Below are 21,437 nucleotides of genomic sequence, written 5' to 3' on the forward strand. Positions count from 1 at the left end.
GAAAGGCCATGAGATTTCAGAGAGAAAACAATTCAAATATACCATGAGATTGTTTTGTAATCTTGATTATTAGTTATAGAGAAGATTAGGCTGCTGTATCGGAGACCTGAAAACACTGTAGCTTAAAAAAAACACAACTACGGTAGCCTAAATATAATCTATGCTGGAGAAGCGGCTCTGCTCCAGGAGGTTATTTAGGAACGCAGGTTCCTTTCATCCCGTAGCTCTTTTGTCTCCCAGGGAATTGTCCGGGTCTTTGTAGTTGAAGTTGGTATTTCAGTATCATTGCTGTCTTTGGAAAGGGCCACAAGTTCAGGACAAATCTATCTTTCTTTCTTTCTTTTCTTTCTTTTCTCTCTTTCTTTCTTTCTTTCCTTTCTCTCTCTCTCTTTCTCTCTTTCCTTTCTTTCTCTTTCTTCTCTCTCTCCCCTTGCTGCTCCCCACCACCTTTCTCCCTTCCTTCCTTTCCTTCCTTTTCCTTTTCTCCTTCCCTCCTTCACTCATTTCTTTCTCCTCTTTATCTTCTTTCTCCTCTTTCTCTCTTTCTTTCTTTCCTTTTTTTTTTTTTTTGTGACAGGATCTCACTCTTATTGCCCAGGCTGGAATGCAGTAGTGTGATCATAGCTCACTGCAGCCTCAATCTCCAGGGCTCAAGCAATCTCCTGCCTCAGCCTCCTGAGTATCAGGGACTACAGATGTGTGGCATCATGCCCAGCTAAATTTTTTATTTTTATTTTTTGCAGAGACAAAGTCTATCTATGTTGCCCAGACTTGTCTTGAACTCCTGTGGCTCAAGTGATCCTCCTGCCTTGGCCTTTGAAAAGGCTGGGGTTATAGGCATGAGCCACTATGCCTGGCCCAGGACAAATTTCTTTTAAGCAAGTGTCATGAAGTTGCAGCCAACAATTCTGCTCACAGAACTTAATCATGTGTCATATTTAGTTGCAAGGAAGGCTAGGAAATATTAACTTTATTTTTATTTTATTAGGATTTTATTTTAATAGGATTGGTTCTCAAACATGGTAGGGAGGGATCAAACTCTCTTGAGGAACTTTTTTTTTTTTTTTTTTTTTTTTGAGCTGGAGTCTCGCTCCTTTGCTCAGGCGGGAGTGCAATGGCATGATCTCAGCTCACTGCACCTCCGCCTCCCAGGTTCAAGCGATTCTACTGCCTCAGCCTCCTGAGTAGCTGGGACTACAGATGTGTGCCACCAAACCCAGAGAATGTTTGTATTGTTAGTGGAGATGGGGTTTCACCATGTTGGCCAGGCTGATCCCGAACACCTGGCCTCAAGCGAGCTGCCTGCTTTGGCCTCCCAAAGTGCTGGGATTACAGGTGTGAGCCACTGTGCTCAGCCTAATATTGACTTTAAATAGCTCATCTGTGTATCTAAGAATAGAGAAAGAACAGATTTGGGAGTGGGGAGGCAATAGTCTGCCACAACTTGCTTATTTGGGAACCTCATCAATTCCTAGATTAATTTCGCTTGTAGTGTTTATCATTTATATTGCAATGTGTGTCCTTTGAATGCCTGTGTTGATTACTTTGTCTAAAAAGTGATTTGAATGATCTAGGATTTATACAGGCAAATCAAGAAAATGTGAAATATATCTCTGTGTGTCAACATTCAACTTCGTTCACAAATTAAAACTTAAGTTGATTATTAGAAAAATATTGCAATTTTGAATTATGTTTCTAATTCTGTAAAACTCTAACATTCTAGTTTCCATATCAATGTCTTGCAAGAGGATTAAGTTTTTATTTGGGTCAACAAAGCAAAATTCCTGGAAGAGCCTACTATTTTCAAGGCATAAAGCCAACCTACACAGAAACATGAGGCTCTCAATGGGGTTAGCAACCCAAATTCACCCTACTAGATTTGCACCTGATTTCCAGTGGCATGGTGGAGCCAAGGTTACTGGAATGCAAATTCACAAAGGTGGGAAGAATTGATGTAGTGTAAACGTTTAAGCCATGTGAACTACTATTACTGGTATTATTTTAATATTATTTAATATTAGGTTTAAGGATATTAGAAGCAGCAATTTGTGGAGTAAGTAGAGCCTATTTCACTAACAGATCTTATTATACATCTTCTGGCTATTTGAATTTTGAGAAGAGTCTGGGAAAAATTTACTCCTAAATTGCCTCTGTTGATCAAAGTCCCCGAAAACCAGTATCAGCGGAGGGTCTTCCTTGTTTCCTTACCTCTCTTTCATGCTCTACTCCTTCTTCCCTTTCTCTCTTTTTCTCATTCATTCCAGCGGTGCCATAGCTCAGGACTGCATCTTTTCTCATATCTTTCTAACCACTCTCTTTGCCTCCACTACTAGAATGATATTTCTAATTTGTAAATCTTATTTTGTATATCTCTTGGTTAAATACAGCCCCTCCAGTGAAGGTTCAAAGGGTTCACAATGCTCTCCACCACCTTGGCTCTGCCTGCCTTTCTAAGGTCATCTCTAGTTACAGTAATACTGTCCAGTGCCGCCTAAGGACGTTTCAGTCAATGAGAGACCACAGATACAATGGTGGTCCTATAAGATTATATAATACTGTATTTTTATTGTACCTTTTCTATGTTTAGATATAGGAATGCTTACCATTGTGTTACAGTAGCCTATAATATTCAGTAGAGTAACCTGCTGTACAGAGCTGAGCCTAGGAGCAATAAGCTATACCACATAGCCTAGGTGTGTATAAGGTTATACCATCTAGGTTTCTGCAAGTATACTCTACGATGTTCTTACAACGACTAAATCGCCTAACAACGTATTTCTCAGAATGTATCCCTGTCATGAAGTGACACATGACTATACAAGCTAATCCTAACTAGACAACTAGCCACAATTGAATACATCCCCATTCTTTGGCCTGTTGCATACACTGACATCATTGCGTTTTCCTGGAGAGGAATGCCCTGCCCCTCACCTGTCTACCTGACTAATGCATATTTCTGTCCCAACACAAATGTCTCTTTTTTAGGCCTTAATGACTGTCTCTGCCTTAATGACCCAGACAAAATGAATCATTCTATCACCACTGCCCATTTTATACATATATATGTGTGTATATATATATATATATATATGTTGGACATAACGCTTATTACATTACACTATTAGTTAGCTTTATGTCTTATCTACCCCATTGCACTGAAAGCTTGTTAGAGGCAGGGATAATGTCTCATTCTTTGCTGTATCCCTAGCTCTTAGCACCTTCAATGAGCCTATATTGAGCACACATAATGTACTAGTTAATTTACATATGTTATCTATCTCCCATTTTCCAGATCAGAAATCTAAAGCTTGCAGAGGTTTTGCCTGAAAAAAAAAAAAATACACATGGTAGAACCAACATTAAAACCTAAGTTGAGGCCAGGCTTGGTGGTTCACACCTGTAATCCCAGCACTTTGGGAGGCCGAGGTGGGCGGATCACAAGGTCAGGAGATTGAGACCATCCTGCCCAACATGGTGAAACCCGGTCTCTATTAAAAATACAAAAATTAGCCAGGCATGGTGGCGGGTGCCTGTAGTCCCAACTACTGAGGAGGCTGAGGCAGGAGAATCACTTGAACCCAGGAGGCAGAGGTTGCAGTGAGCCGAGATCGCAGCACTGCACTCCAGCCTGGGCAACAAGAGCAAAAACTCTGTCCAAAAAAAAAAACCTAAGTTGGACTCTGAAGCCAATGCTATGTTGTCAATGCTATGTTGTTGTTGACTAGATGGAGATATAAAAGGTCACTTTGGAAATGGTGCCAACCTACCATATCAAACTGAGTTAATGCACTACAGACAATGCACACAAAATTCACTGTTACCACCTACTTACAAGGCCTGGCCTGCTTAGCATCAGAGATTATTCAGACCATAGTATCTACAGAGCAATGCAGTACAGGTTGACACCTCTTCTGCATCTCAACGGTTCTTACCTTTTGACAAAACCTTCCACTCTCACAATAGGTTGATGTCTTGTTTTACAGGTGTTATGTAACCATCTCAAGGTCACACAGTCTAGTACCAGCTAAACCAGGCCCAAAACTTTTTTTTTTGGTTACTTAAAAAAATTGTTATTATTATTATTATTGTATTTTTAGTAGAGACGGGGTTTCACCATGTTGGCCAGGCTGGTCTCGAGATCCTGACCTGGTGATCCACCTGCCTCGGCCTCCCAAAGTATTATTTTTTATTTAAACTGAAGCCGCTACATCACATCAAGTGTATTTCTAGGTGAGAGTAGTACACCAAGTGGAAATGGATGCTCAGTGGAGGAGGCTAGGATTAAATGCCACAGGCTTGCTACAGCCAAGAGCATATCTGCATCTATGAGGGGCAGACCAGAACAGCAAAGCTAATGCCAAGGCCAGCCACAGTACGGCTACATCAGTCGACTAGTTGTAGAGAGCAAGACCGAAGCAAAAAATGTGATTCAACATAAAATATGAGGTTTCTCTAACCTCCAATTTAACTATGCAAGGTCCTGTTATTAATTAATTAGGTACCTTCACCAAGGACAGTTAAGAAAATCAGACAACTGCCAGGTTGCTTCCTATTACTCTTGACTTCTTACTGGATACTTTTAATCAAGCCAGGTAAGCACACGTTTTCCTCTAAGTTATTCAGCAAAATGTCCTATGCTCCTTAACTGACTCAAAGCAAACACAATTTTTTTTTTTTGAGACAGAGTCTCGCTCTGTCACCAGGCTGGAGTGCAGTGGTGTGATCTTGGCTCACTGCAACCTCCGCCTGCTGGGTTCAAGCGATTCTCGTGCCTCAGCCTCCCAAGTAACTGGGATTACAGGCACGCGCCACCACACCCGGCTAATTTTTGTAATTTTGGTAGAGACGGGGTTTCACCATGTTGGGCAGGATGGTCTCGATCTCCTGACCTTGTGATCCGCCCACCTCGGCCTCCCAAAGTGTTGGGATTACAGGCGTGAGCGACCGTGCCCAGCCAGCAATCACATTTTTAAAAACAACAACGAAAACCGCAGTAGCCTGGTTGTGTGCTTTCCATTTAAAGAGATAACTCCCTCCCTTCAGAGTCTTATTTCCTTGCTCTGCACCAATGGCTATTTTGTTGTTTAAAACAAACACTTAAACTGTTGACATTGAAATATCCAGACTACATGGTCTTAAAGAGTCTGGGTTAATGAAATAAGGTGAGTCAGTGAGATGAAGGACTTAATGTTCCAATAATTATCTTTTAAAACCCCCCTTTTAAATGTCAAAACTCTTACAGCTCTTCTCTTAGGGGAGTAGGAAGGGGAGGGGTCTCCTTTAATTTTGTGGAACCCAGGTTTTGTAAGGATATTGACAAATTAGATGCTTGGCAATTAAATTAGAATTTCACCGTATCTCCTGCCTTAAAAGAACAGCTTTATTCTTGAGGGAGCCCACCTAACAATTTTATGTTCAGTCATCTGCAGAGAATAGAGCCACTGTCTTTTTCTTTCCTAACCTAGGGTAGACGCTTTATTTCACTGCAAGTTCCCTGTGACATTTTGCACTCTCTTGATTTAATGCACCAAAGAGGATCTTTAACTCTTGGTCTACACTAGTGCAAATAAAGGTTAAATCTCTCACTAACCATCATGAACTAGCCTAATAACTCACGAGAGGCCCTGGAAAAAGAAACCGAGAGAGCAGGTGTGCAGACTTGATTAAAAGGTGCAAAACCCGCACAACCGCAGGCAAAGGTACTTTATCCTCACGTTGCCCAGTACCGGCTGCGAGGTGCGCAAGCAGGGGAACTTGTACTGCGCCAACAGAACGATTCCGAGAGCCGGGCCTAGTAACACAGGGGCTTTTCTTCAGAACGGTGTCCAGACCGGAGCTTGCGCCGAATGTAGGGGCTCCTATTGGCCACGCGCCGTAGGGGAGGAGACGACTGGCGGGGAGACAGACTGGAGGAGGGGAGAAGGGGGCAAGGCCTTTTCCCTGCCCCCTCCCTGCCCCCTCCGCCGCAGGCTGCCGCCGGTACCTCGTGCGTGGTTACTATGCAAATTGCAGCGATTGCGGAAATAAACAAGGGAGTTGGGAGAGGAGAGAGGGACTGCCGAATCGATTGCAACTTCTGCAAAGTCTCGTACAATCCAAAGCACGCAAGGCAAAACCAGAGCGAATCTGAGAACCAGCCAGCCCGGGTTGGATCGCTTTCAAAAGAGAGAGTGAGAGCGAGCGAGCGAGCGAGCGAGAGCGAGACAGTGAGAGAGGGAGAGAGCGCGCCTTGCAATTGCAAAAGCCTTCTGATTTGGAGTTAAAAAAAAAATTCTCCAAGAAGCCTGCAATTGGCCAACAGCTTTTTAAAAAATCTCTTCCGGGTTTTCAACGGTTCCAAGTTTATTTAGATATTTTTTAAATGCAAAAAAAAGGGGACAACAAATGAAGCAATTCGTCTGAGCATTTTAAAGTTTCTCACGTACTCTTTTTACATTGCAATGGTACGTGGTACATCTTAAACTTTCTATTTTGCATTTATATGATATGCGTTTTATAAACAATGGTAGAATGATTTTGTTTAATGGCTAAGACTAAAATTTCTCTAGCTCGCATATGCACTTAAGTGATTGCTGGGTAAATGTCTATTGTGATGGTTTTGTTTTAAAGATGTAGCTTTGTTGATGGTGTTTTTGCTATGTGCATCAGAGACCGGGTTTTCTTTTTCTTTTTTTTTTTTTTCGGGATTTGAAAAAATTGCTGAGCTTGACAGATTTTTTTTTCCTCCTAGCGCTTGCTCGGTTCCAGAAAGGGGTGGGGGGAAATCCTGTACGTGCTCTGTTCTGTAAAAGACGTCTGGCCTCAGCAGTCAACCTAACCCGAAAAGAAATGTCTGGACCCGGAGAATAATTGACGATTTGATCCTCTAATCAATGGGACAACTTGGGAGATTGACAAAAGCTTTATCCAATCATAAGGAAGCTTGGGTGTACAATAGTTCTCAATAGCCAGAGGGGGCGGGGCAGAGGAGATCTGAAGTTCTCTGCAGCTCTGAAGGGGATGGTGTGGTTCAAGCTGTCAAAGCTACAAGCGCTTCCGGATTTAGCAAGCACAATAGGAAAGAATTTTCGCGTTTAAGAAAAAAAAAAAAGCTGATCGGGGGAGTTTTGCATGAATCGTGTGCCTTCTTCCTTGTCTTTTGGAAAAAGAAACATTCTGCTAGAGAAATAACTTTGTATTGTTATTAACTTTGCATTAGCTATTATTTTTATGCTCAGGGAAGCTGGTAACTTGTGGAATGTGAAGTTCAACTTTAAGAAACGTGTGGCTTAAATCTTGCCTGAATTGTGGGACTGTAGTGAGCTTTGGGAAGTAATATATTGCGTATTCAGCATTACAAAACTTCTTACTCTGATTATCTTAGAAGCTTTGGCATTTCAAGTACTTTGAAATTAATAGGTAAACCTCTCTTCTTGAACTCTAAACAACAGTTTTAAAGGAGAGAATGTTTCACATGTGGACTAGCAGCTGTCTTACACACTTGAAAGAAATTAGGGGAGTGTTTTTTCTTGGCTATTCTTGAATTCTGCTTTTTAAGTATATGGTCAGTAGGAAATAGGACGTTAAGACTGGCCAAGTTCACGTTTCTCCTTGTTACCACAACAACCCCCGTGGAGAGTGTATGGAAGATCGCTGACTTGCTAACTGTTAGTTGGAGTCTGGCCTCTTGGACAAGTGCTTGATACAAATCCAGTGGAAACCAACTGCAGTAGCTTGTCTTGGAGACAGTAACTGGCAGCCTCTGACTAAAATATCTCCATCTCCTCCTCTCTGAGCAGCGTAGACACCCAATTCTGTTGGGAAGTGAATGGAAAATAATATGGGCTCTTTCCCTTCTTTGGATTAAATTCCCATCGAGCTATTTCCCAAGGCTTTAGGCCTTCCAGTCAAATCTGGCTTGGAAATTTGATGTAAGAATTCACTTGGACACTCACTTCAGCAACATGATTCAATTTAGGATTATATGCACATAAGAAAAATCTGCACAGAAGTGACCAGCAGGTCAAAAACCAGAGAAGAAAAAATGTTGAAAAATGCCAGTTAATAAAGTTAGTTTTGGTAAGAACTACAGAGTTATGGTGTTGTCGCTTATGAATCCCAGTCCTATCTTCACTGCTTTGGGTATTAAAATCTAAATCATATTAATAAGATCTCCCTATTAAGTAACCTCCAAAATGAGAGCTATTTGAGATGTACATATAAGTGAAACCTTATTGACGTAATTTATATATCTAAGAGGATTTCACTAAAGCTGGCAAGGTAACGTTTCTGCAAATAAAACACAGTAAATGCAAGGCTGGGCTCTGTGCCAGGAAGAATATGGATAGCAGAGAGCATGACAGGAGCCTCCTTTGCGCAGAGACAATCCCATTTCAAGGCAGCCTCCTACCACTTGGAAAATAAATGATTGGAGAGGTTATTTCCAATAAGGGGTTTATCCTTCCTAACAATGGGTCATTTATATGATTGCAGTGAACTAGTTTCCATACTTCACCTGCGTTTCCTCCACTGCTCTCTCTACTATCCTTTCTTTCTTCCCTCCTCCTCCATCCCTGCTCTCTCTCAAGTGCCTTAGTATCTTTGTGAACTCTGGACAAGGATTTACTTTTGCAACTTGGGAAGAGGGGAGAGGGTTGGAAATGTTTTTTACCCCCAGTCTGCCCTTTGAGGAACATCTGTTTCTTTGTGCGTGTGTTTAAATTTATGCCTGTTGGAGAGAAAGTTACCAGAAGCCTTTCTGTAACTGTAACTCTTCTACTGTATTTTTCTCAGTCTTGTTTCCAAAGGCTGTAGTTGGAACTGTGCTTTGTAGTGTTCCCCCGCCTCCCCCCCTCCCTCCGCGGGGGAGGGAGCGGGAGCTGGCGGAGATAGGAGAGAAAGCAGGAGCGGATGTGAAGGGCTTTGGTGCTGAACTTGGATCCAGCCCTTGCCTAGAGGGCGCAAACAATCGTCCCATATCCAAAAGTCTTACGAAGGGCGCCAAAAGTTACTTAAGATAATATTGCTAACCGCAGAAAGCTGGAAATCGCGGGGCACATCCACTGCTGCAACAAAAGAAGTTTTTAAAGTAGAAATATCAGCATTAAATTACTTCCCCCATTAAAAAAAAAAAACAGGGCGACATGCCAGTCCTTTTTAAAAAAAATCTTTTTTTTCCTTGAGACTCAAAAGTAAGAATCTTTGCCGTTTTGAAAATAGGCAGATGTGAAGTGTATCTTTTAATACACCAAAAGAAAGATTTTAATCTGCTCTGGAAGAGAGCTTCCCGAGTACACACTCTGAACAATAACTTTTCACTGTGCCTCAGTTACATGTTGGGACCGTCAGCCAGAAACTTCTATCGAGGAAACTTGGAGCGCATTGAAGTTATAGATCCCAGCAAAGGTTCTCGTGGCCAGGGATGTTGTCTCTGTAACACAGCTTGGCTTTTAGGACATTCCTCCCCTACTAAAATCTGAGAGGAACCAAGGAAAAGCAGTGGGTTAAGTTTGGGAAAATGGACTCTCTCATTAAAGGCTGAAATCATTATTTCTCCTCACTCCTTAGTAAATAATCTTGAGAGATTTCCAAGGATGTTCAGGAGGGAGGGTGGGAGAGAGAATGGTTCTTGAGCATTCGGGAATTATTTTGGCAATAAAGTAACTAAAGTACAAGCATAAAATAACTTTAGACAGATGCAGAATTATTTCAGAGGTTCTCTTTTGCTCTTTCTCCAGTACAGTATTTCCTGCCCCTTGCTTTGAAAAGAAGTCTGAATGAGAGTGGCCTTAACACATCACTCACCCTCACTTGTTAACACATCACTTACCCTCACTTTCCTACAGGAATGTCCCCTCTTTAGAGACTCTCTGGTTATGTCACCTCCACCGAAGGGCAGATTCCCCTGTGTGCCAGTGTCTTTCAACATGATACCTACCTCTTTCCTTTTGGAATTTTGAGAAGGGTTGTCAAATGCAGCATTTTGCAAACCATCATGAGGAAGAGAAGTAAAATAAGGGATGGGGGCTTAGAAGAGGCAGGTAGGCTTTCCCCCCTCCGAGAGAGGAGAGCCTAGAGAGAAAATATGAGGTTAAAAAAAAAAAACTGGAAAAGCAGGCTTACTGGCAACTTGCCAAACCCTAAAAACCACCCCCCTCTTTTCTGCCAAAACAATACTTTAGCAAACCTAAAATAATTGCAGGAAGCTCTTTTCCATTTTAAGAACTATTACCTGGGGGAGGGAAAAAAGGGATTCTTAAAAGGCACCCTTCCAGAGGTGTCCCAGAAACTGGGACGGTAATGATAGCCTATGTCCAGTTCTGGGCACGCGTTTGTGGATCAGAATATCTCCCTTCCCTAAGGGGACATCCCTTTCACATATTTTTTTCCTCCTAAAAAGTAAAAGATGTCACAGCTAAACCACTGTTGTTTCTGAACGTGATAGAACTTTTTCTATGGCGTCTGTGTTCAAACCCACTAGTTTCACAGTCCTGGGAGGGATAACGCTCATTAATCTCCGCCTTCTTTTCTCCAGACCCCCGCCCCCCAAATCCGGTGAATCTTCTGTGGGCACTGATTCCTCACCACCCCCGCTTCTGAATGCCACAGGACCGAAGCTGCACAAAGTTTGCAGGATTGTGTGCATAATTACCTCTGCCGACGAATCTATTCCCACAGAAAGCTTCGCTGGAGAGATTACAATGCTTTGAGCCTTACCGCATTTCAGTGGGGGAAAAAAAGTTACCTAGGAGGTCTGATTTTTCAAAGAAATTTGCATACATGCAAATGTGCCGCCCGGCCTCCTCCTCGGTTCTCTACGTGCCCACGCGGTGGCCCGGGGGGTGCGGGGCAACCTGGCAAAGTTGCCCAAGTCCTCCACCGAGGTCCGCGGAGGTCTGCAGCGGGGGTGGGGGGATGGGGACGAGGAAAAGTAGTTTTGTTTGCTTAAGCACATCCTGTGGCAGCCTATAGCTGCCCGGGAGTACAGACTGTAACTGCTCCTCACTGCGTTACCCAGTAATGCGCTGATCGGGGGAGGGGGCGGGGGGGCCGGGGAGCGAGCGGGAGAGCGAGCAAGCGAGCGAGCAAGGAGCGAGCCACGGAGAGAGCCGGGGAGCGAGCGAGCCAGCCTGCGAGCGCGAGCGGCCGCGGAGGCTCGGGACCCGGCTGGCCGCGCGGCGCCGCAGCCGCCCCCTCCCCCACACCCCCTCCCCCCCGCGGCGGCGGCGCGAGCGGGCGGCGGCTGTGCGGTGCGGTGCAGAGCGGAGGCGGAGGCGGGCGCGCGGGCAGCTCGCGGGCACCCGGCCGGGCCGGCGCGGGAGCGGGAAAGGGTGCGCTATGCCTTTAACACCCGCGTACAGTAGGCATGTATAGTGGAGTGTAGGGAAACTCTAGGCGGGGTTAAAGTTCAGCTCATGGAGCGGCAATAGCGCTGGCTGGCTGGCTGCAGTTGAGCCGACTTGGAAATGTGAACGCAAGAAGCAGGCTTGATTTTTTTTTCTCCCCCCTTCTCTCTCTCTCTCTCTCTCTCTCTTCCTCTCTCCCTCTTTCTCCTCTCTCACCCACACTCACGCACACCTCCAAACCGCACACCCAGACGCACACGCATACCCCAGCGCCCGGCAGTTATGTATTCTCCGCTCTGTCTCACCCAGGTAAGCCGCGGCGTGGATGCGGAGGGCTTGGGGGCCGGGGCGCCGGGGGCAGGGCTGGGGCTGGGTGGGGGGCACCGGGGCCGTCGCTCCGGCCGGGCCCAGGGCGTGCGTCTCGGTGTGTGTCTGTGTCTGCGCGTGTTTCTGTGTGTGTGCGCGCGTGTGCCCGCGGGTGGGGGGGGGGATCCCGCTTAAAGAAAGTAACTTTGTTTCCATGCGGGTGCATTCCTCTTGCACGGCCATTTGTGTGGGCACATGGCTAATGGCGCCCTCTTATTAATGCGTTAATTAATATCGGGGCGACGGACTGCGGAACAGCAGTGTTTTCGGACACCCCGCACGTGTTTCGGCGGGGTTGCAGTCCATGACACGCAGAAATCTGGCTCAGCGTTTCTGCTGCCGGGAGCAGGGATTCCGTAGTGCCGCAGCGCCCGGGGAGGGGGCCGCCGACGGAGCCCACCGCTCACCCCGCACGCTCGGGCCGGCTGCAGTCCTCGGGTGCGGGGAGACCTCGGGTGCCTGCGCCCAACGGCCCGCTCCCCGCAGCCTGCGCTGCCGCAGCCCCCCGCCGTCTTCCCGAACTCTTACTTTTGTTTATTGTTTGTCAGCCTTCGGGGTCCGGCCGCGGAAAGGACGCGGGCTCCCGTCCCGGCCCCGGCCCGGACAGCGCCCCTCGGACGCGGGCAGGCTGCGGCTAGCCCTCGGCTGAGCGGGGCTACGTGGACGCGCGTTCCCCCGCGCCGGCCGGGTGGAGCCTGCGTCCTCGCCGCGCGCCGGTGGCCCGTTGGCTCTCCCGGAGTGAAAGTTTCGGGGCCGAGACGAGCCCACGTTGTGCAGGGCGCCGAACGCCGGAGGCCGCGGGCCGCGGGCCGGGTAGCGCCGGGCAGAGTTGGGCTCCTAGCCGGGAGCCGGAGCGGCGGCCCGGGCCGGACACGGCTCCCCCCGCCGCCGCCGCCGCCACCACCACCACCGCCACCGCGCGACTCCGGCCGCTCCGCGCGCAGGACGGGGGCAACTTTTCCCCTCCGACTCAACTCAGAGCATGGGGCTCTTGCGCCCCACCGCCTCTCCTTTCCGTGCCCCCCTGTCCATTCCTCCCTTGTCTACCCACCCCCAGGCAAAATATTGCTACTTCGAGACTTCAAATCCGGTCCCCTTTGAATATGTTATTTGTTTTCCTTGACTAAAAGGCTTGAAGTCAAAGTGGTTTTGCGCTATTTTTTTTTTAAGCGTGAGATTTCATACTGCTTTGGTACATTAGGATCTGACCATTAATCACCTACATGAAGTTATATGCTTCACATAAAATGTTTATTCACCTCTCCCTTAAAAAACCTACCACTTCTTGCCTTCATTTAGTAGGAGATAACGGTTTAACCGGAATAGTTTCTGGAAGGCTAAAAAGTATCAGTAGTTTTCGCTCTCCTCTCTAGATTCTGGATTTATTTCCCACATGACATCCCTTCTTATTGCAATATCTAACAGTAATAATACCGGGTATTTGATCTCAGAAGACTCTTAAACGCATCTTTTATGTTGAAATGGTCTGTTTGGGATTTAGGCCTAGCATTAATAATGGATAGCAGTTACTTTTAGTTACTGTAAAAGTTTTTTTTTTTTTTCCTAACAAACTTCCAAAGTTCCTATTTTAGTAACTTGTGGAAGTATGGAATGAAACTTTTCCAACCACTTCTGGCAAGGTTCACAATTGCATATGGATAAGATGCAAAGTGTAAGATAATTTGAATGAATTACGGACTATAGTGAAAATGCTGAGATTCGAAGGCTGAAGTTCTAGCTGGCAGAAGTTTGCAACACACAGAACTTGTAGATAATATCAGCGAGCTGCAATAAAGGGAAAGGACCCTAACAGATACATTAGTGTCTTCTCAATTGAGCTCTGAAAAGATAAATTTATATTTGGGAATGGTGCATATATGAGGGCACCTGTATATCCATGCAGGCCTAGGGCACAGTCAGGTATTTAACAAAGTTGGCCTCTGTTGGTTCATGAGGTATTATGACATTAAGAGAGTTTTTTTTTTTCTTTTTTTTTCGGCTTACATATTCAGCAGCGTTGATTGATGCATTCACTAGGCCTTCTTCTGGAAACACCACTAAGAGAAATGCTTATTTAGTGTAACAGTTTGTAAAGAAAATGTACAATAAATAGTGAATGAGGGCTCATATTTTATGGGTTCTGCTTTTAAAAATTTATTTACAATTTATTTAACTTGCTGGGATATTTATAATGTTTTAGAGCCAGTTTTAGGAAGAAGAACTTCGGTAGTTTATTGCTCATTAAAAAAAATCAGTAAGCACAGTGATTTCTATCACTATACTCTAAATGAAACTCCATTTAACTTGTAGGCAATTTAAAAAAAAACTTTACCAAGAAAAACCTAGACATCTTATTTTAATCAAATATGGGCATATAATCAAATCAGGTACTGTCCATATAATGATAACCCAGCAGAAATTTGTAGGTGAACTTTTAAAAAAAGTAGTTTCCAGAAATATCAGCATTCAGTGGTTCTTAAACTTGGCTCACTTTCAAACAGATCAATGTTTAAGATGCTGATTCAAAGTAATACCACTTTTGAAACAGGTTTTCAGGTTTGTTTTTATTGGTGGCCTATAACTTTCTCACTGAGTACATATGTAAAACGTTCTTTTTTTCCTCTTGAATGTTATGAAATAGTACCTAGCTTATAGCGATATGTTCAGCAACATGAATTATAAGGGCACACTACTTTTTTTTTTTAACTAATCATTTATGCTATTCCTGGACATTTCTTGCAAGCTAATGATACTCTTTAGTTTTGATATTCTGGAATATTTTAAATCATGACTTGAGAAAGATACATTAGAAAAAATCAATACTTTAATTGTGCATATGAGTAAAGTTATACAAAATATTGTGGACTTTTACTGGCAGGTTCTTAACCTTTGGGGAGTAATACATTGTAAATACTTTTGATGCAAAATTGGGGACTTAAGTTATTCTTAATGACTAATTGACATAGTTGTTCTTGTTTAAGGATTTTTATGATGAGATATATGGGCATTTGGTTGGCAGGTAAACAGAATCCTGTTGGACACGAATGCATGCATGCAGTTTGCAGTTTTTTGAAAAGCATATTGGGAGTATCTACAGACACTTAAAATGCCATATTAGAATGTTTATTTTAAATGCTTATTATCATTAATCAAACTTTTAAATAAGATAACATTTTAACATAGATATGAATCGTTTGGAGCTAAGTTATACTTTGCATTATAAAATGGGGATGAAACTTTAAAATGAAGTCCTCCTTTTGGTGAAAGCTCACTTGGTAGTTTAAGGTAGACTCCAGGAGTTTTTTGCATAATACAACAGAGTCTTGGTCCCTAGCATGTCTTGTATATATAAGAAAATCAGTCAATGTGAAGTTCTGTTTCAAACCTAAAATTTATGTATTTTAGATCATTTCAAGGATGAGCTCAGAATTTAGTAACGTTTAGATGCTTTGTGGTTTGGCGTATACCTTTGCAGATAAACTGTGACTTGCCCCCCATGCCTGTCACCTAAAGTATGAGAATAAGAAATATTCTCAAACATCAGAAATTTTAAAAATGTTAATGGTTTATGGCAAGAATAACAATTCCTGTATTTTTTTCTATTCTCTCTCTACTTAAAGAATGCACACGTGTTACAAAAGCTGACTACTTCTCTTTTGGATTCTTTTATTGAAAAAGAGCAGTTTTGAAAGCTAAACTTGAAACATAGAACCTGAAATTTGTGCAGAGAGGAAAAAAGTCAGTTATTGAAGTAATTTATTATGTATTAATATATACTTACTTTTAAAAGCTCAGTCATATAGAGTGTTTAAATGATTGATTATAATTTGCTAAATTTTTAAACAACACGACTATTAAATATTTTACCTTATCAGTTCACATTTGAACATTTAAAAATTTAGTAATTGTGTTAATAATAATATTCTGGACATTACTGCTACCTGTGCCTTGAAAGTATATATTTAGTTAGATATAACAAACTGAAAAAGAATGCATTTTATAATATTTGTCTGTCCTACACCATTTAGCAAAAAAGCCATCGAATCTTTCTTTGGTTTCTAATCCTCATTTATTTGAAGGTAATCTATGTTTTGGAGAGGGGGTTATGTGGCAGAGAGAAGTTATGTAACAGTGTGGATTAGTTAATCAAAAGTTAGACGTACTCCGAAAGCTTTGTGGAGGTTACTGCTTAATTTTTTAAAAAATATATTTATATTTCCTAAGAAAATGTCATGTATAAGGATCAAACATTTTAAGCAAAACAGAAAGAAACATTTAAATATTTGAAACTCAATTTTTTTTTCAATTTTAAGAGGCATCTATGAGGGTTTTCCCGGCATCTTGTAAATATTGAAAATACCAGGTTCTGATTCCCTATGAGAAAAATCCTGAAATAGTATTTGCAAAAATTAAATAATCTATTTTTTAGGTATGATTATTACTGAAAGCACTTCACAATCATATTAGTAAATTAAATGTATTCATGTATGCTTTTCTTTGTTTTTTTTTCCTCTTTCTTCCCCCTTTTTGTTTCATTCCCATAGTATTAGCAATTATGTCTTGGGCATAGATCTTTTATTTTAGCCTAATAAATATCAAATTCAATCCTTCTTTTGTATATGAACCTCCCAAATTTGTCCTAGTTTTTGACTAAAAAAATTATATGTAGTTATAATATTTAAAAGGGGAATTTAGACACTAGCAAAATGAGTAAGAAACATATCAGAATCTACATGCAATATTTTTAGGGGGAAAGCCTTTGTTTTCATTGATTGTAGAGATGATTTTTTGCTCCTAGACTTCCATAAACATTGACTGGCATCTAAATGTTTAGGATTTGCCAATCTGGCGGCTGGGCCCTGGCTGTACTACAAGTGGTGAGGTCAAGGCTGGGACAAAATTAGATATGCCTTCCTTGAAATAGGGTTAAGATTATACATTGTTATAAGCATTTAGATAAACTTCACTTACTATCTAAAGGATGGGGAGCTAGGCCCGACAGTAGTAGCTGGTGTACCCTGGTGAACATATTAAAACAGTTTTTTAATTTTCAGCAGTTTTTTTATTTCCGATCATAAGAAATGATACTGATAGTTTTCTCTCCCACCTTCCCAGACTTCCCATAGGATCCTGTGTATGATTTTGGTAACAGAATGCTCTAATCAAATTTCAAGTGAAATGAGGAATTTCTTTCTTAAGGTGACCCGCTGAAGAAAAGTTGTTTTCTTTTGTTTTCATTCTACTTATATTTTTCTTTTTGTTCATTTTCCTAGGATGAATTTCATCCTTTCATCGAAGCACTTCTGCCCCACGTCCGAGCCTTTGCCTACACATGGTTCAACCTGCAGGCCCGAAAACGAAAATACTTCAAAAAACATGAAAAGCGTATGTCAAAAGAAGAAGAGAGAGCCGTGAAGGATGAATTGCTAAGTGAAAAACCAGAGGTCAAGCAGAAGTGGGCATCTCGACTTCTGGCAAAGTTGCGGAAAGATATCCGACCCGAATATCGAGAGGATTTTGTTCTTACAGTTACAGGGAAAAAACCTCCATGTTGTGTTCTTTCCAACCCAGACCAGAAAGGCAAGATGCGAAGAATTGACTGCCTCCGCCAGGCAGATAAAGTCTGGAGGTTGGACCTTGTTATGGTGATTTTGTTTAAAGGTATTCCGCTGGAAAGTACTGATGGCGAGCGCCTTGTAAAGTCCCCACAATGCTCTAATCCAGGGCTCTGTGTCCAACCCCATCACATAGGGGTTTCTGTTAAGGAACTCGATTTATATTTGGCATACTTTGTGCATGCAGCAGGTAAGTGCGATGGTGAGAATTCCTCCCACTTTCTTGTGTGTGTTTCTTTCCTGATGGCCTCCGCGTTATGCCGGATTCTTCCTGAGCTCCCCAAGTTGCAGGCCACGTACATGAAGCCAGTGTGGTTTCAAAGATTGAGAGAGGTGCCACCTTCATTCAGGTGAAAAAGCATAGCTTTGAGCGAATTCTCACTAAGTTCAGCTCTTTTGGTAAGTAGTGTTTTCAGAGGCGTTGGTAATCAGATATGTGATATGTTTAAATCACATTTTTTGATGAGGGGATGAGAGAAGCCTCGTGAAAACCCTTTTAATAAAGAGTATATTTTAACTGACAAATGATCTAGTTTAAAAGCATTTATTTTGGTATTGAGGCAATATTTTTAGTTGGTTTTCTGCTGGGAGTGTTTTTAACCTACTGAGGCCTCTTGAACCCCTTGCCAATTAAGAAGTTGGAGGTAGATTACTATCAAATTGCTGATCATTTAGGAAGGAAAAATAATCACATTAATACGCAGACTTAGTAGCTTTGTATTTAGGAATTCTTAGTGTTGTCTCAGATAGCTAAGGGAAACAAACCAGCTCTTTCAGTAATTGATGGAGAGGTTAATATTAAAAATAACCAACCTGTATATTGCATGAACACATTGAAAAATTGCTATTGATAATTGATGTAGTGAGTTGCTTTGATTGTAAAATCTTAAATTTTTTTTCTGTTTTTTCAAGGCATGTCTTACCTGTGCATGTTTCAGTGTTTAGAATAGCATGCAGGATAAAACTATTGAGGACTGGATAAAATAATGCATTTTTACTTTGTTCCTTTCGTCTTGTTTTAGACAAAAGGCTCATTGTGCTATGTGAACGCTCAGGTCTTGTGTAACTTGTTGACTTTATATATGTACATATCGGTCTTGCTAGATTACCTTCATGGCAGTTACTTGAGCCAGATGGAAGAAAGAGGGTTGTGGAATCCTACCAGTAGGTTGTTTTGGGGTTCAAATATTTAACGTTTTTTTTTCTTTTTTTTTTTTTTTTTTTACAAAGGAGAGATGTTACCTGTAAAAACACTGCACTTTTCTTCAAAACATTTTTAATTCTAAAAATGTTAGTGAGTTTTTAAAGAAGCCAGCTGATAGCCTGTTCTCTATTATTTTTCTCAATATATGTTTTAGAAAGAGAACTTTTGTTATCCATCTGCCCTTACATAAGAAACTGGAGAAATTAGCTTTGCAAGCATGTCACATCATCATTTGCATTCTGTTGGCAGGGGATAGATGAGTATTTTAGAGGATGTGAGCTGTAAGTGTTTCAAATATTTGGGTTTTCAAAAATGTATACTTAATTATAAGAATTGCCTTTTGCTTTAGCCAATTCTGGGTAGCAAGAATGAAAAGTCAGCACCTCTCAAGTGACCTCTAAGCAGGAATAAGTAGCCCTTTTTTAACCCACTCTTAACCCTGTTGTTGTTCATTTGTTTTGTTTACTGAAAAAGTAAAGTTAAAATTTTTAAAAAATGTGTCTGCATATGTTAAGCACAGCAAAACGCAAAAAAAGTATAGGTGTTACAGGTGCTTTCAAGAAGCACTCTTTAAAATCTTGTTTTTACCTTTTAGATATTTAGAAAAATATAACCTATAAATTATCCCGAATAGATGACCAACATCGAAACTTGAAAGTGCCAACAGGTGATGCAGATCATGATGTGTGCTTCCATATAAGATAACATCAAAATGAAATACCTGTGAAGTTTTTGTCGGTGTAAGCAGTGTCCATTCTAAGTTTTCGTCTTAAACATTTCTCTGTTATTTAAAGAAATGCAATCTTTTCGCTGTTCTCATTACGTGCCTTCTTTTTCGTCGTTGGTTTGTTACTGTGCTATTGCTCCCAATCCTTGAACTAACACAGTTGTTGGTTGTTGCAATGCCTGAAGGGGTTATGTTGGTAAAATGACATTTAGAAGGTTACTTAGGAGAGTTAGCATCCTTATTGCTTATGAAAGATTTATTGACAGCAGCATAGATCAGACTACTCTTCGGTTTGGTTTTCCTGATGTATCCCAGAATCCCTTGTTATGCCTGAATGCCAGCCAAATGTTTGGCCATTGGTTTTCACGGGACCGCAGTAATGGCTGCTTCTCTGTGCGCGCAACAGGAAGACTGTAAAAGAAAATATTAAGGGTCTTTTGTCTGAAAATATTTCAAATTTGATTTAAGAGATTCAGAGACCTGTTATTTGTGGAAGGGAAGCTGCCAATACAAATATGAGGTAGATCGGTCAACTTACATACAACTGATTTGACAAGCATCTGTTATAATACTGAAGATTTGTAAACACTAAACAATGTTTTTACCTCCTTAAAAGTTTTGAGAACTTGCCAGTATTGGCAGGAGGCAGAGACTCTGAAACGTGCTTCAAGATACATGCCAAAACCATTGTGGCCTTTTCACCTATAATGCGTTTTTTCTCGCTCTTTCTTTTAAATTGTTATATTTTTTTCCTTTCCAGAATGCCTTTTTTTCCCCCTAGATGGTCATAGAAATTAGATCTTCTTTTCCTTCTGAAATTTGTGTGTAATAATTCTTGCTTTATGTGTCCACCTTTCTTTGGTAGGAAGTTGAAATCTCAGAACATACGTGAGAATACTAGAAGCAAATGCAGAATCAATCTTTTTTTTTTTAAAGCGGAGGTGATTTATTCTAAGACTTATTGACATGCTAAAATATAATACATAAACTACATTCCAGTTTTTTCCCTCTAAATCCAGTGGCATTAGAACTGTGAATTTTGTGGCTGATAAGCAGTAACAAGTGTAATGAAATTGGAGTGATTTCATAAGCCTGAGAATTTCATCTTGTTAAAAGAACAAAACCATTTTATGCCCTTAATTTGGTCTCAATTTGAGTTGTCCTTCCCATGTATCATATGACAACTTGGGGATACTATGGTATTGTGGCAAATGGTTTTCTTTGTGGGTGTGTAACAGTAAAGCTAATTTATGACCAGTCTTTACCAGATGATCTGTATCAGAATCTACAATATACCCGGCACGTGGCAAGGTCACAATTTAAGTTGTTAAGGTCATAACCTTAGCCACCAGGCATTTGACCTTTTAGATAAAGTTAACCTTTGTTCATTAGTAGGCACTCAACCGAGAAGTTTCTGGAGAGTTGTTGTTTTTTTTTTTTTAACCACTTCTGTATAAACTTCTGGTAATGTAATCAGATTCTAGAAAGATTCTCAGTCAAATTAGTTAGATTTTGTGAAAGGTTATACTTTTTAAGGACTCATTTCTTGGATAGAGGCAGGTTGCTATTTTTAGGCCATAGAATGACAGTTTCACAATTTATATTTGATATTATTACCTGCCATGGGGTAGAATAAAAGCTTGGAGGCAGCTGTGTGGGGACATTTAAAATCTAAAATTAAACAAATTAATTTATGTTTAATTCAACTAAGGCCTTTGCTAATTTTCAAGTGACATTAGGCCTAAAAGCTAAATCACAGTGAGCCATCTTCACTTTTTGCAGATGAGGAATTTTCTAACATTAGAAGTATTTTTAGCAGTCTTAAAATTCAGTTTGAAAGATTAATAAGTGACCACAATTTGTCAGGTAATTGCTTTAATTGTTAATTAGCCAGTGACAAAGCAAGTTGCTGTTGTCCTAATGGCAGCAGTATGAGTACTTGTTAGTTTTAAGGTAGAAAGAGAACACTTTTGCACGGTAATCTTTTAGTGCAGTAGTTACTGATTGCTTCCATGCTGCTACCATTATTACCTTTACTTAATTTTGCTTGCATCAGGAATAGCAAAGATCCTTTCAATCACTGAAGGAGCTGTTTCAGTGTCTCGGAAGCCTGATACCTGTCCTATAAACCTACTCAACAGTATTACTGATTACCACATTACCTGTACCATATTGTTCACTTAATTATGCTGACATGAATG

At 41.5% G+C, this 21,437-nt stretch overlaps 1 protein-coding gene across 4 annotated transcripts in view, besides 1 other annotated feature; it reads left to right on the forward strand.

Moving 5' to 3' along the window:
• NFIA (nuclear factor I A) overlaps window positions 6,042-21,437 on the forward strand; it is a 385,562-nt gene continuing 370,166 nt past the window's right edge. For 2 of the 4 annotated variants that reach the window (NM_001134673.4, NM_005595.5), the window contains exons 1-2: window positions 11,376-11,633; window positions 16,964-17,495. In NM_001134673.4, coding sequence (NP_001128145.1) covers window positions 11,607-11,633; window positions 16,964-17,495 — 559 coding nt within the window. In that variant the 5' untranslated portion in view covers window positions 11,376-11,606. Of the gene's footprint in view, window positions 6,444-10,553; window positions 10,863-11,375; window positions 11,634-16,963; window positions 17,496-21,437 lie in introns of those variants that run through there. The other 2 variants (NM_001145512.2, NM_001145511.2) reach the window with 2 other exon arrangements.
• Window positions 10,652-10,946: a silencer, noted in NCBI's record as "tiled region #5981; K562 Repressive non-DNase unmatched - State 1:Tss". NCBI's record gives its function as "represses a minimal TATA promoter and a strong SV40 promoter by Sharpr-MPRA in K562 cells {active_cell/tissue: K562}" and the evidence as "EXISTENCE:reporter gene assay evidence [ECO:0000049][PMID:27701403]".

This window comes from Homo sapiens, chromosome 1 (genome assembly GCF_000001405.40).
Source record: "Homo sapiens chromosome 1, GRCh38.p14 Primary Assembly".
Taxonomy (NCBI): domain Eukaryota; kingdom Metazoa; phylum Chordata; class Mammalia; order Primates; family Hominidae; genus Homo; species Homo sapiens.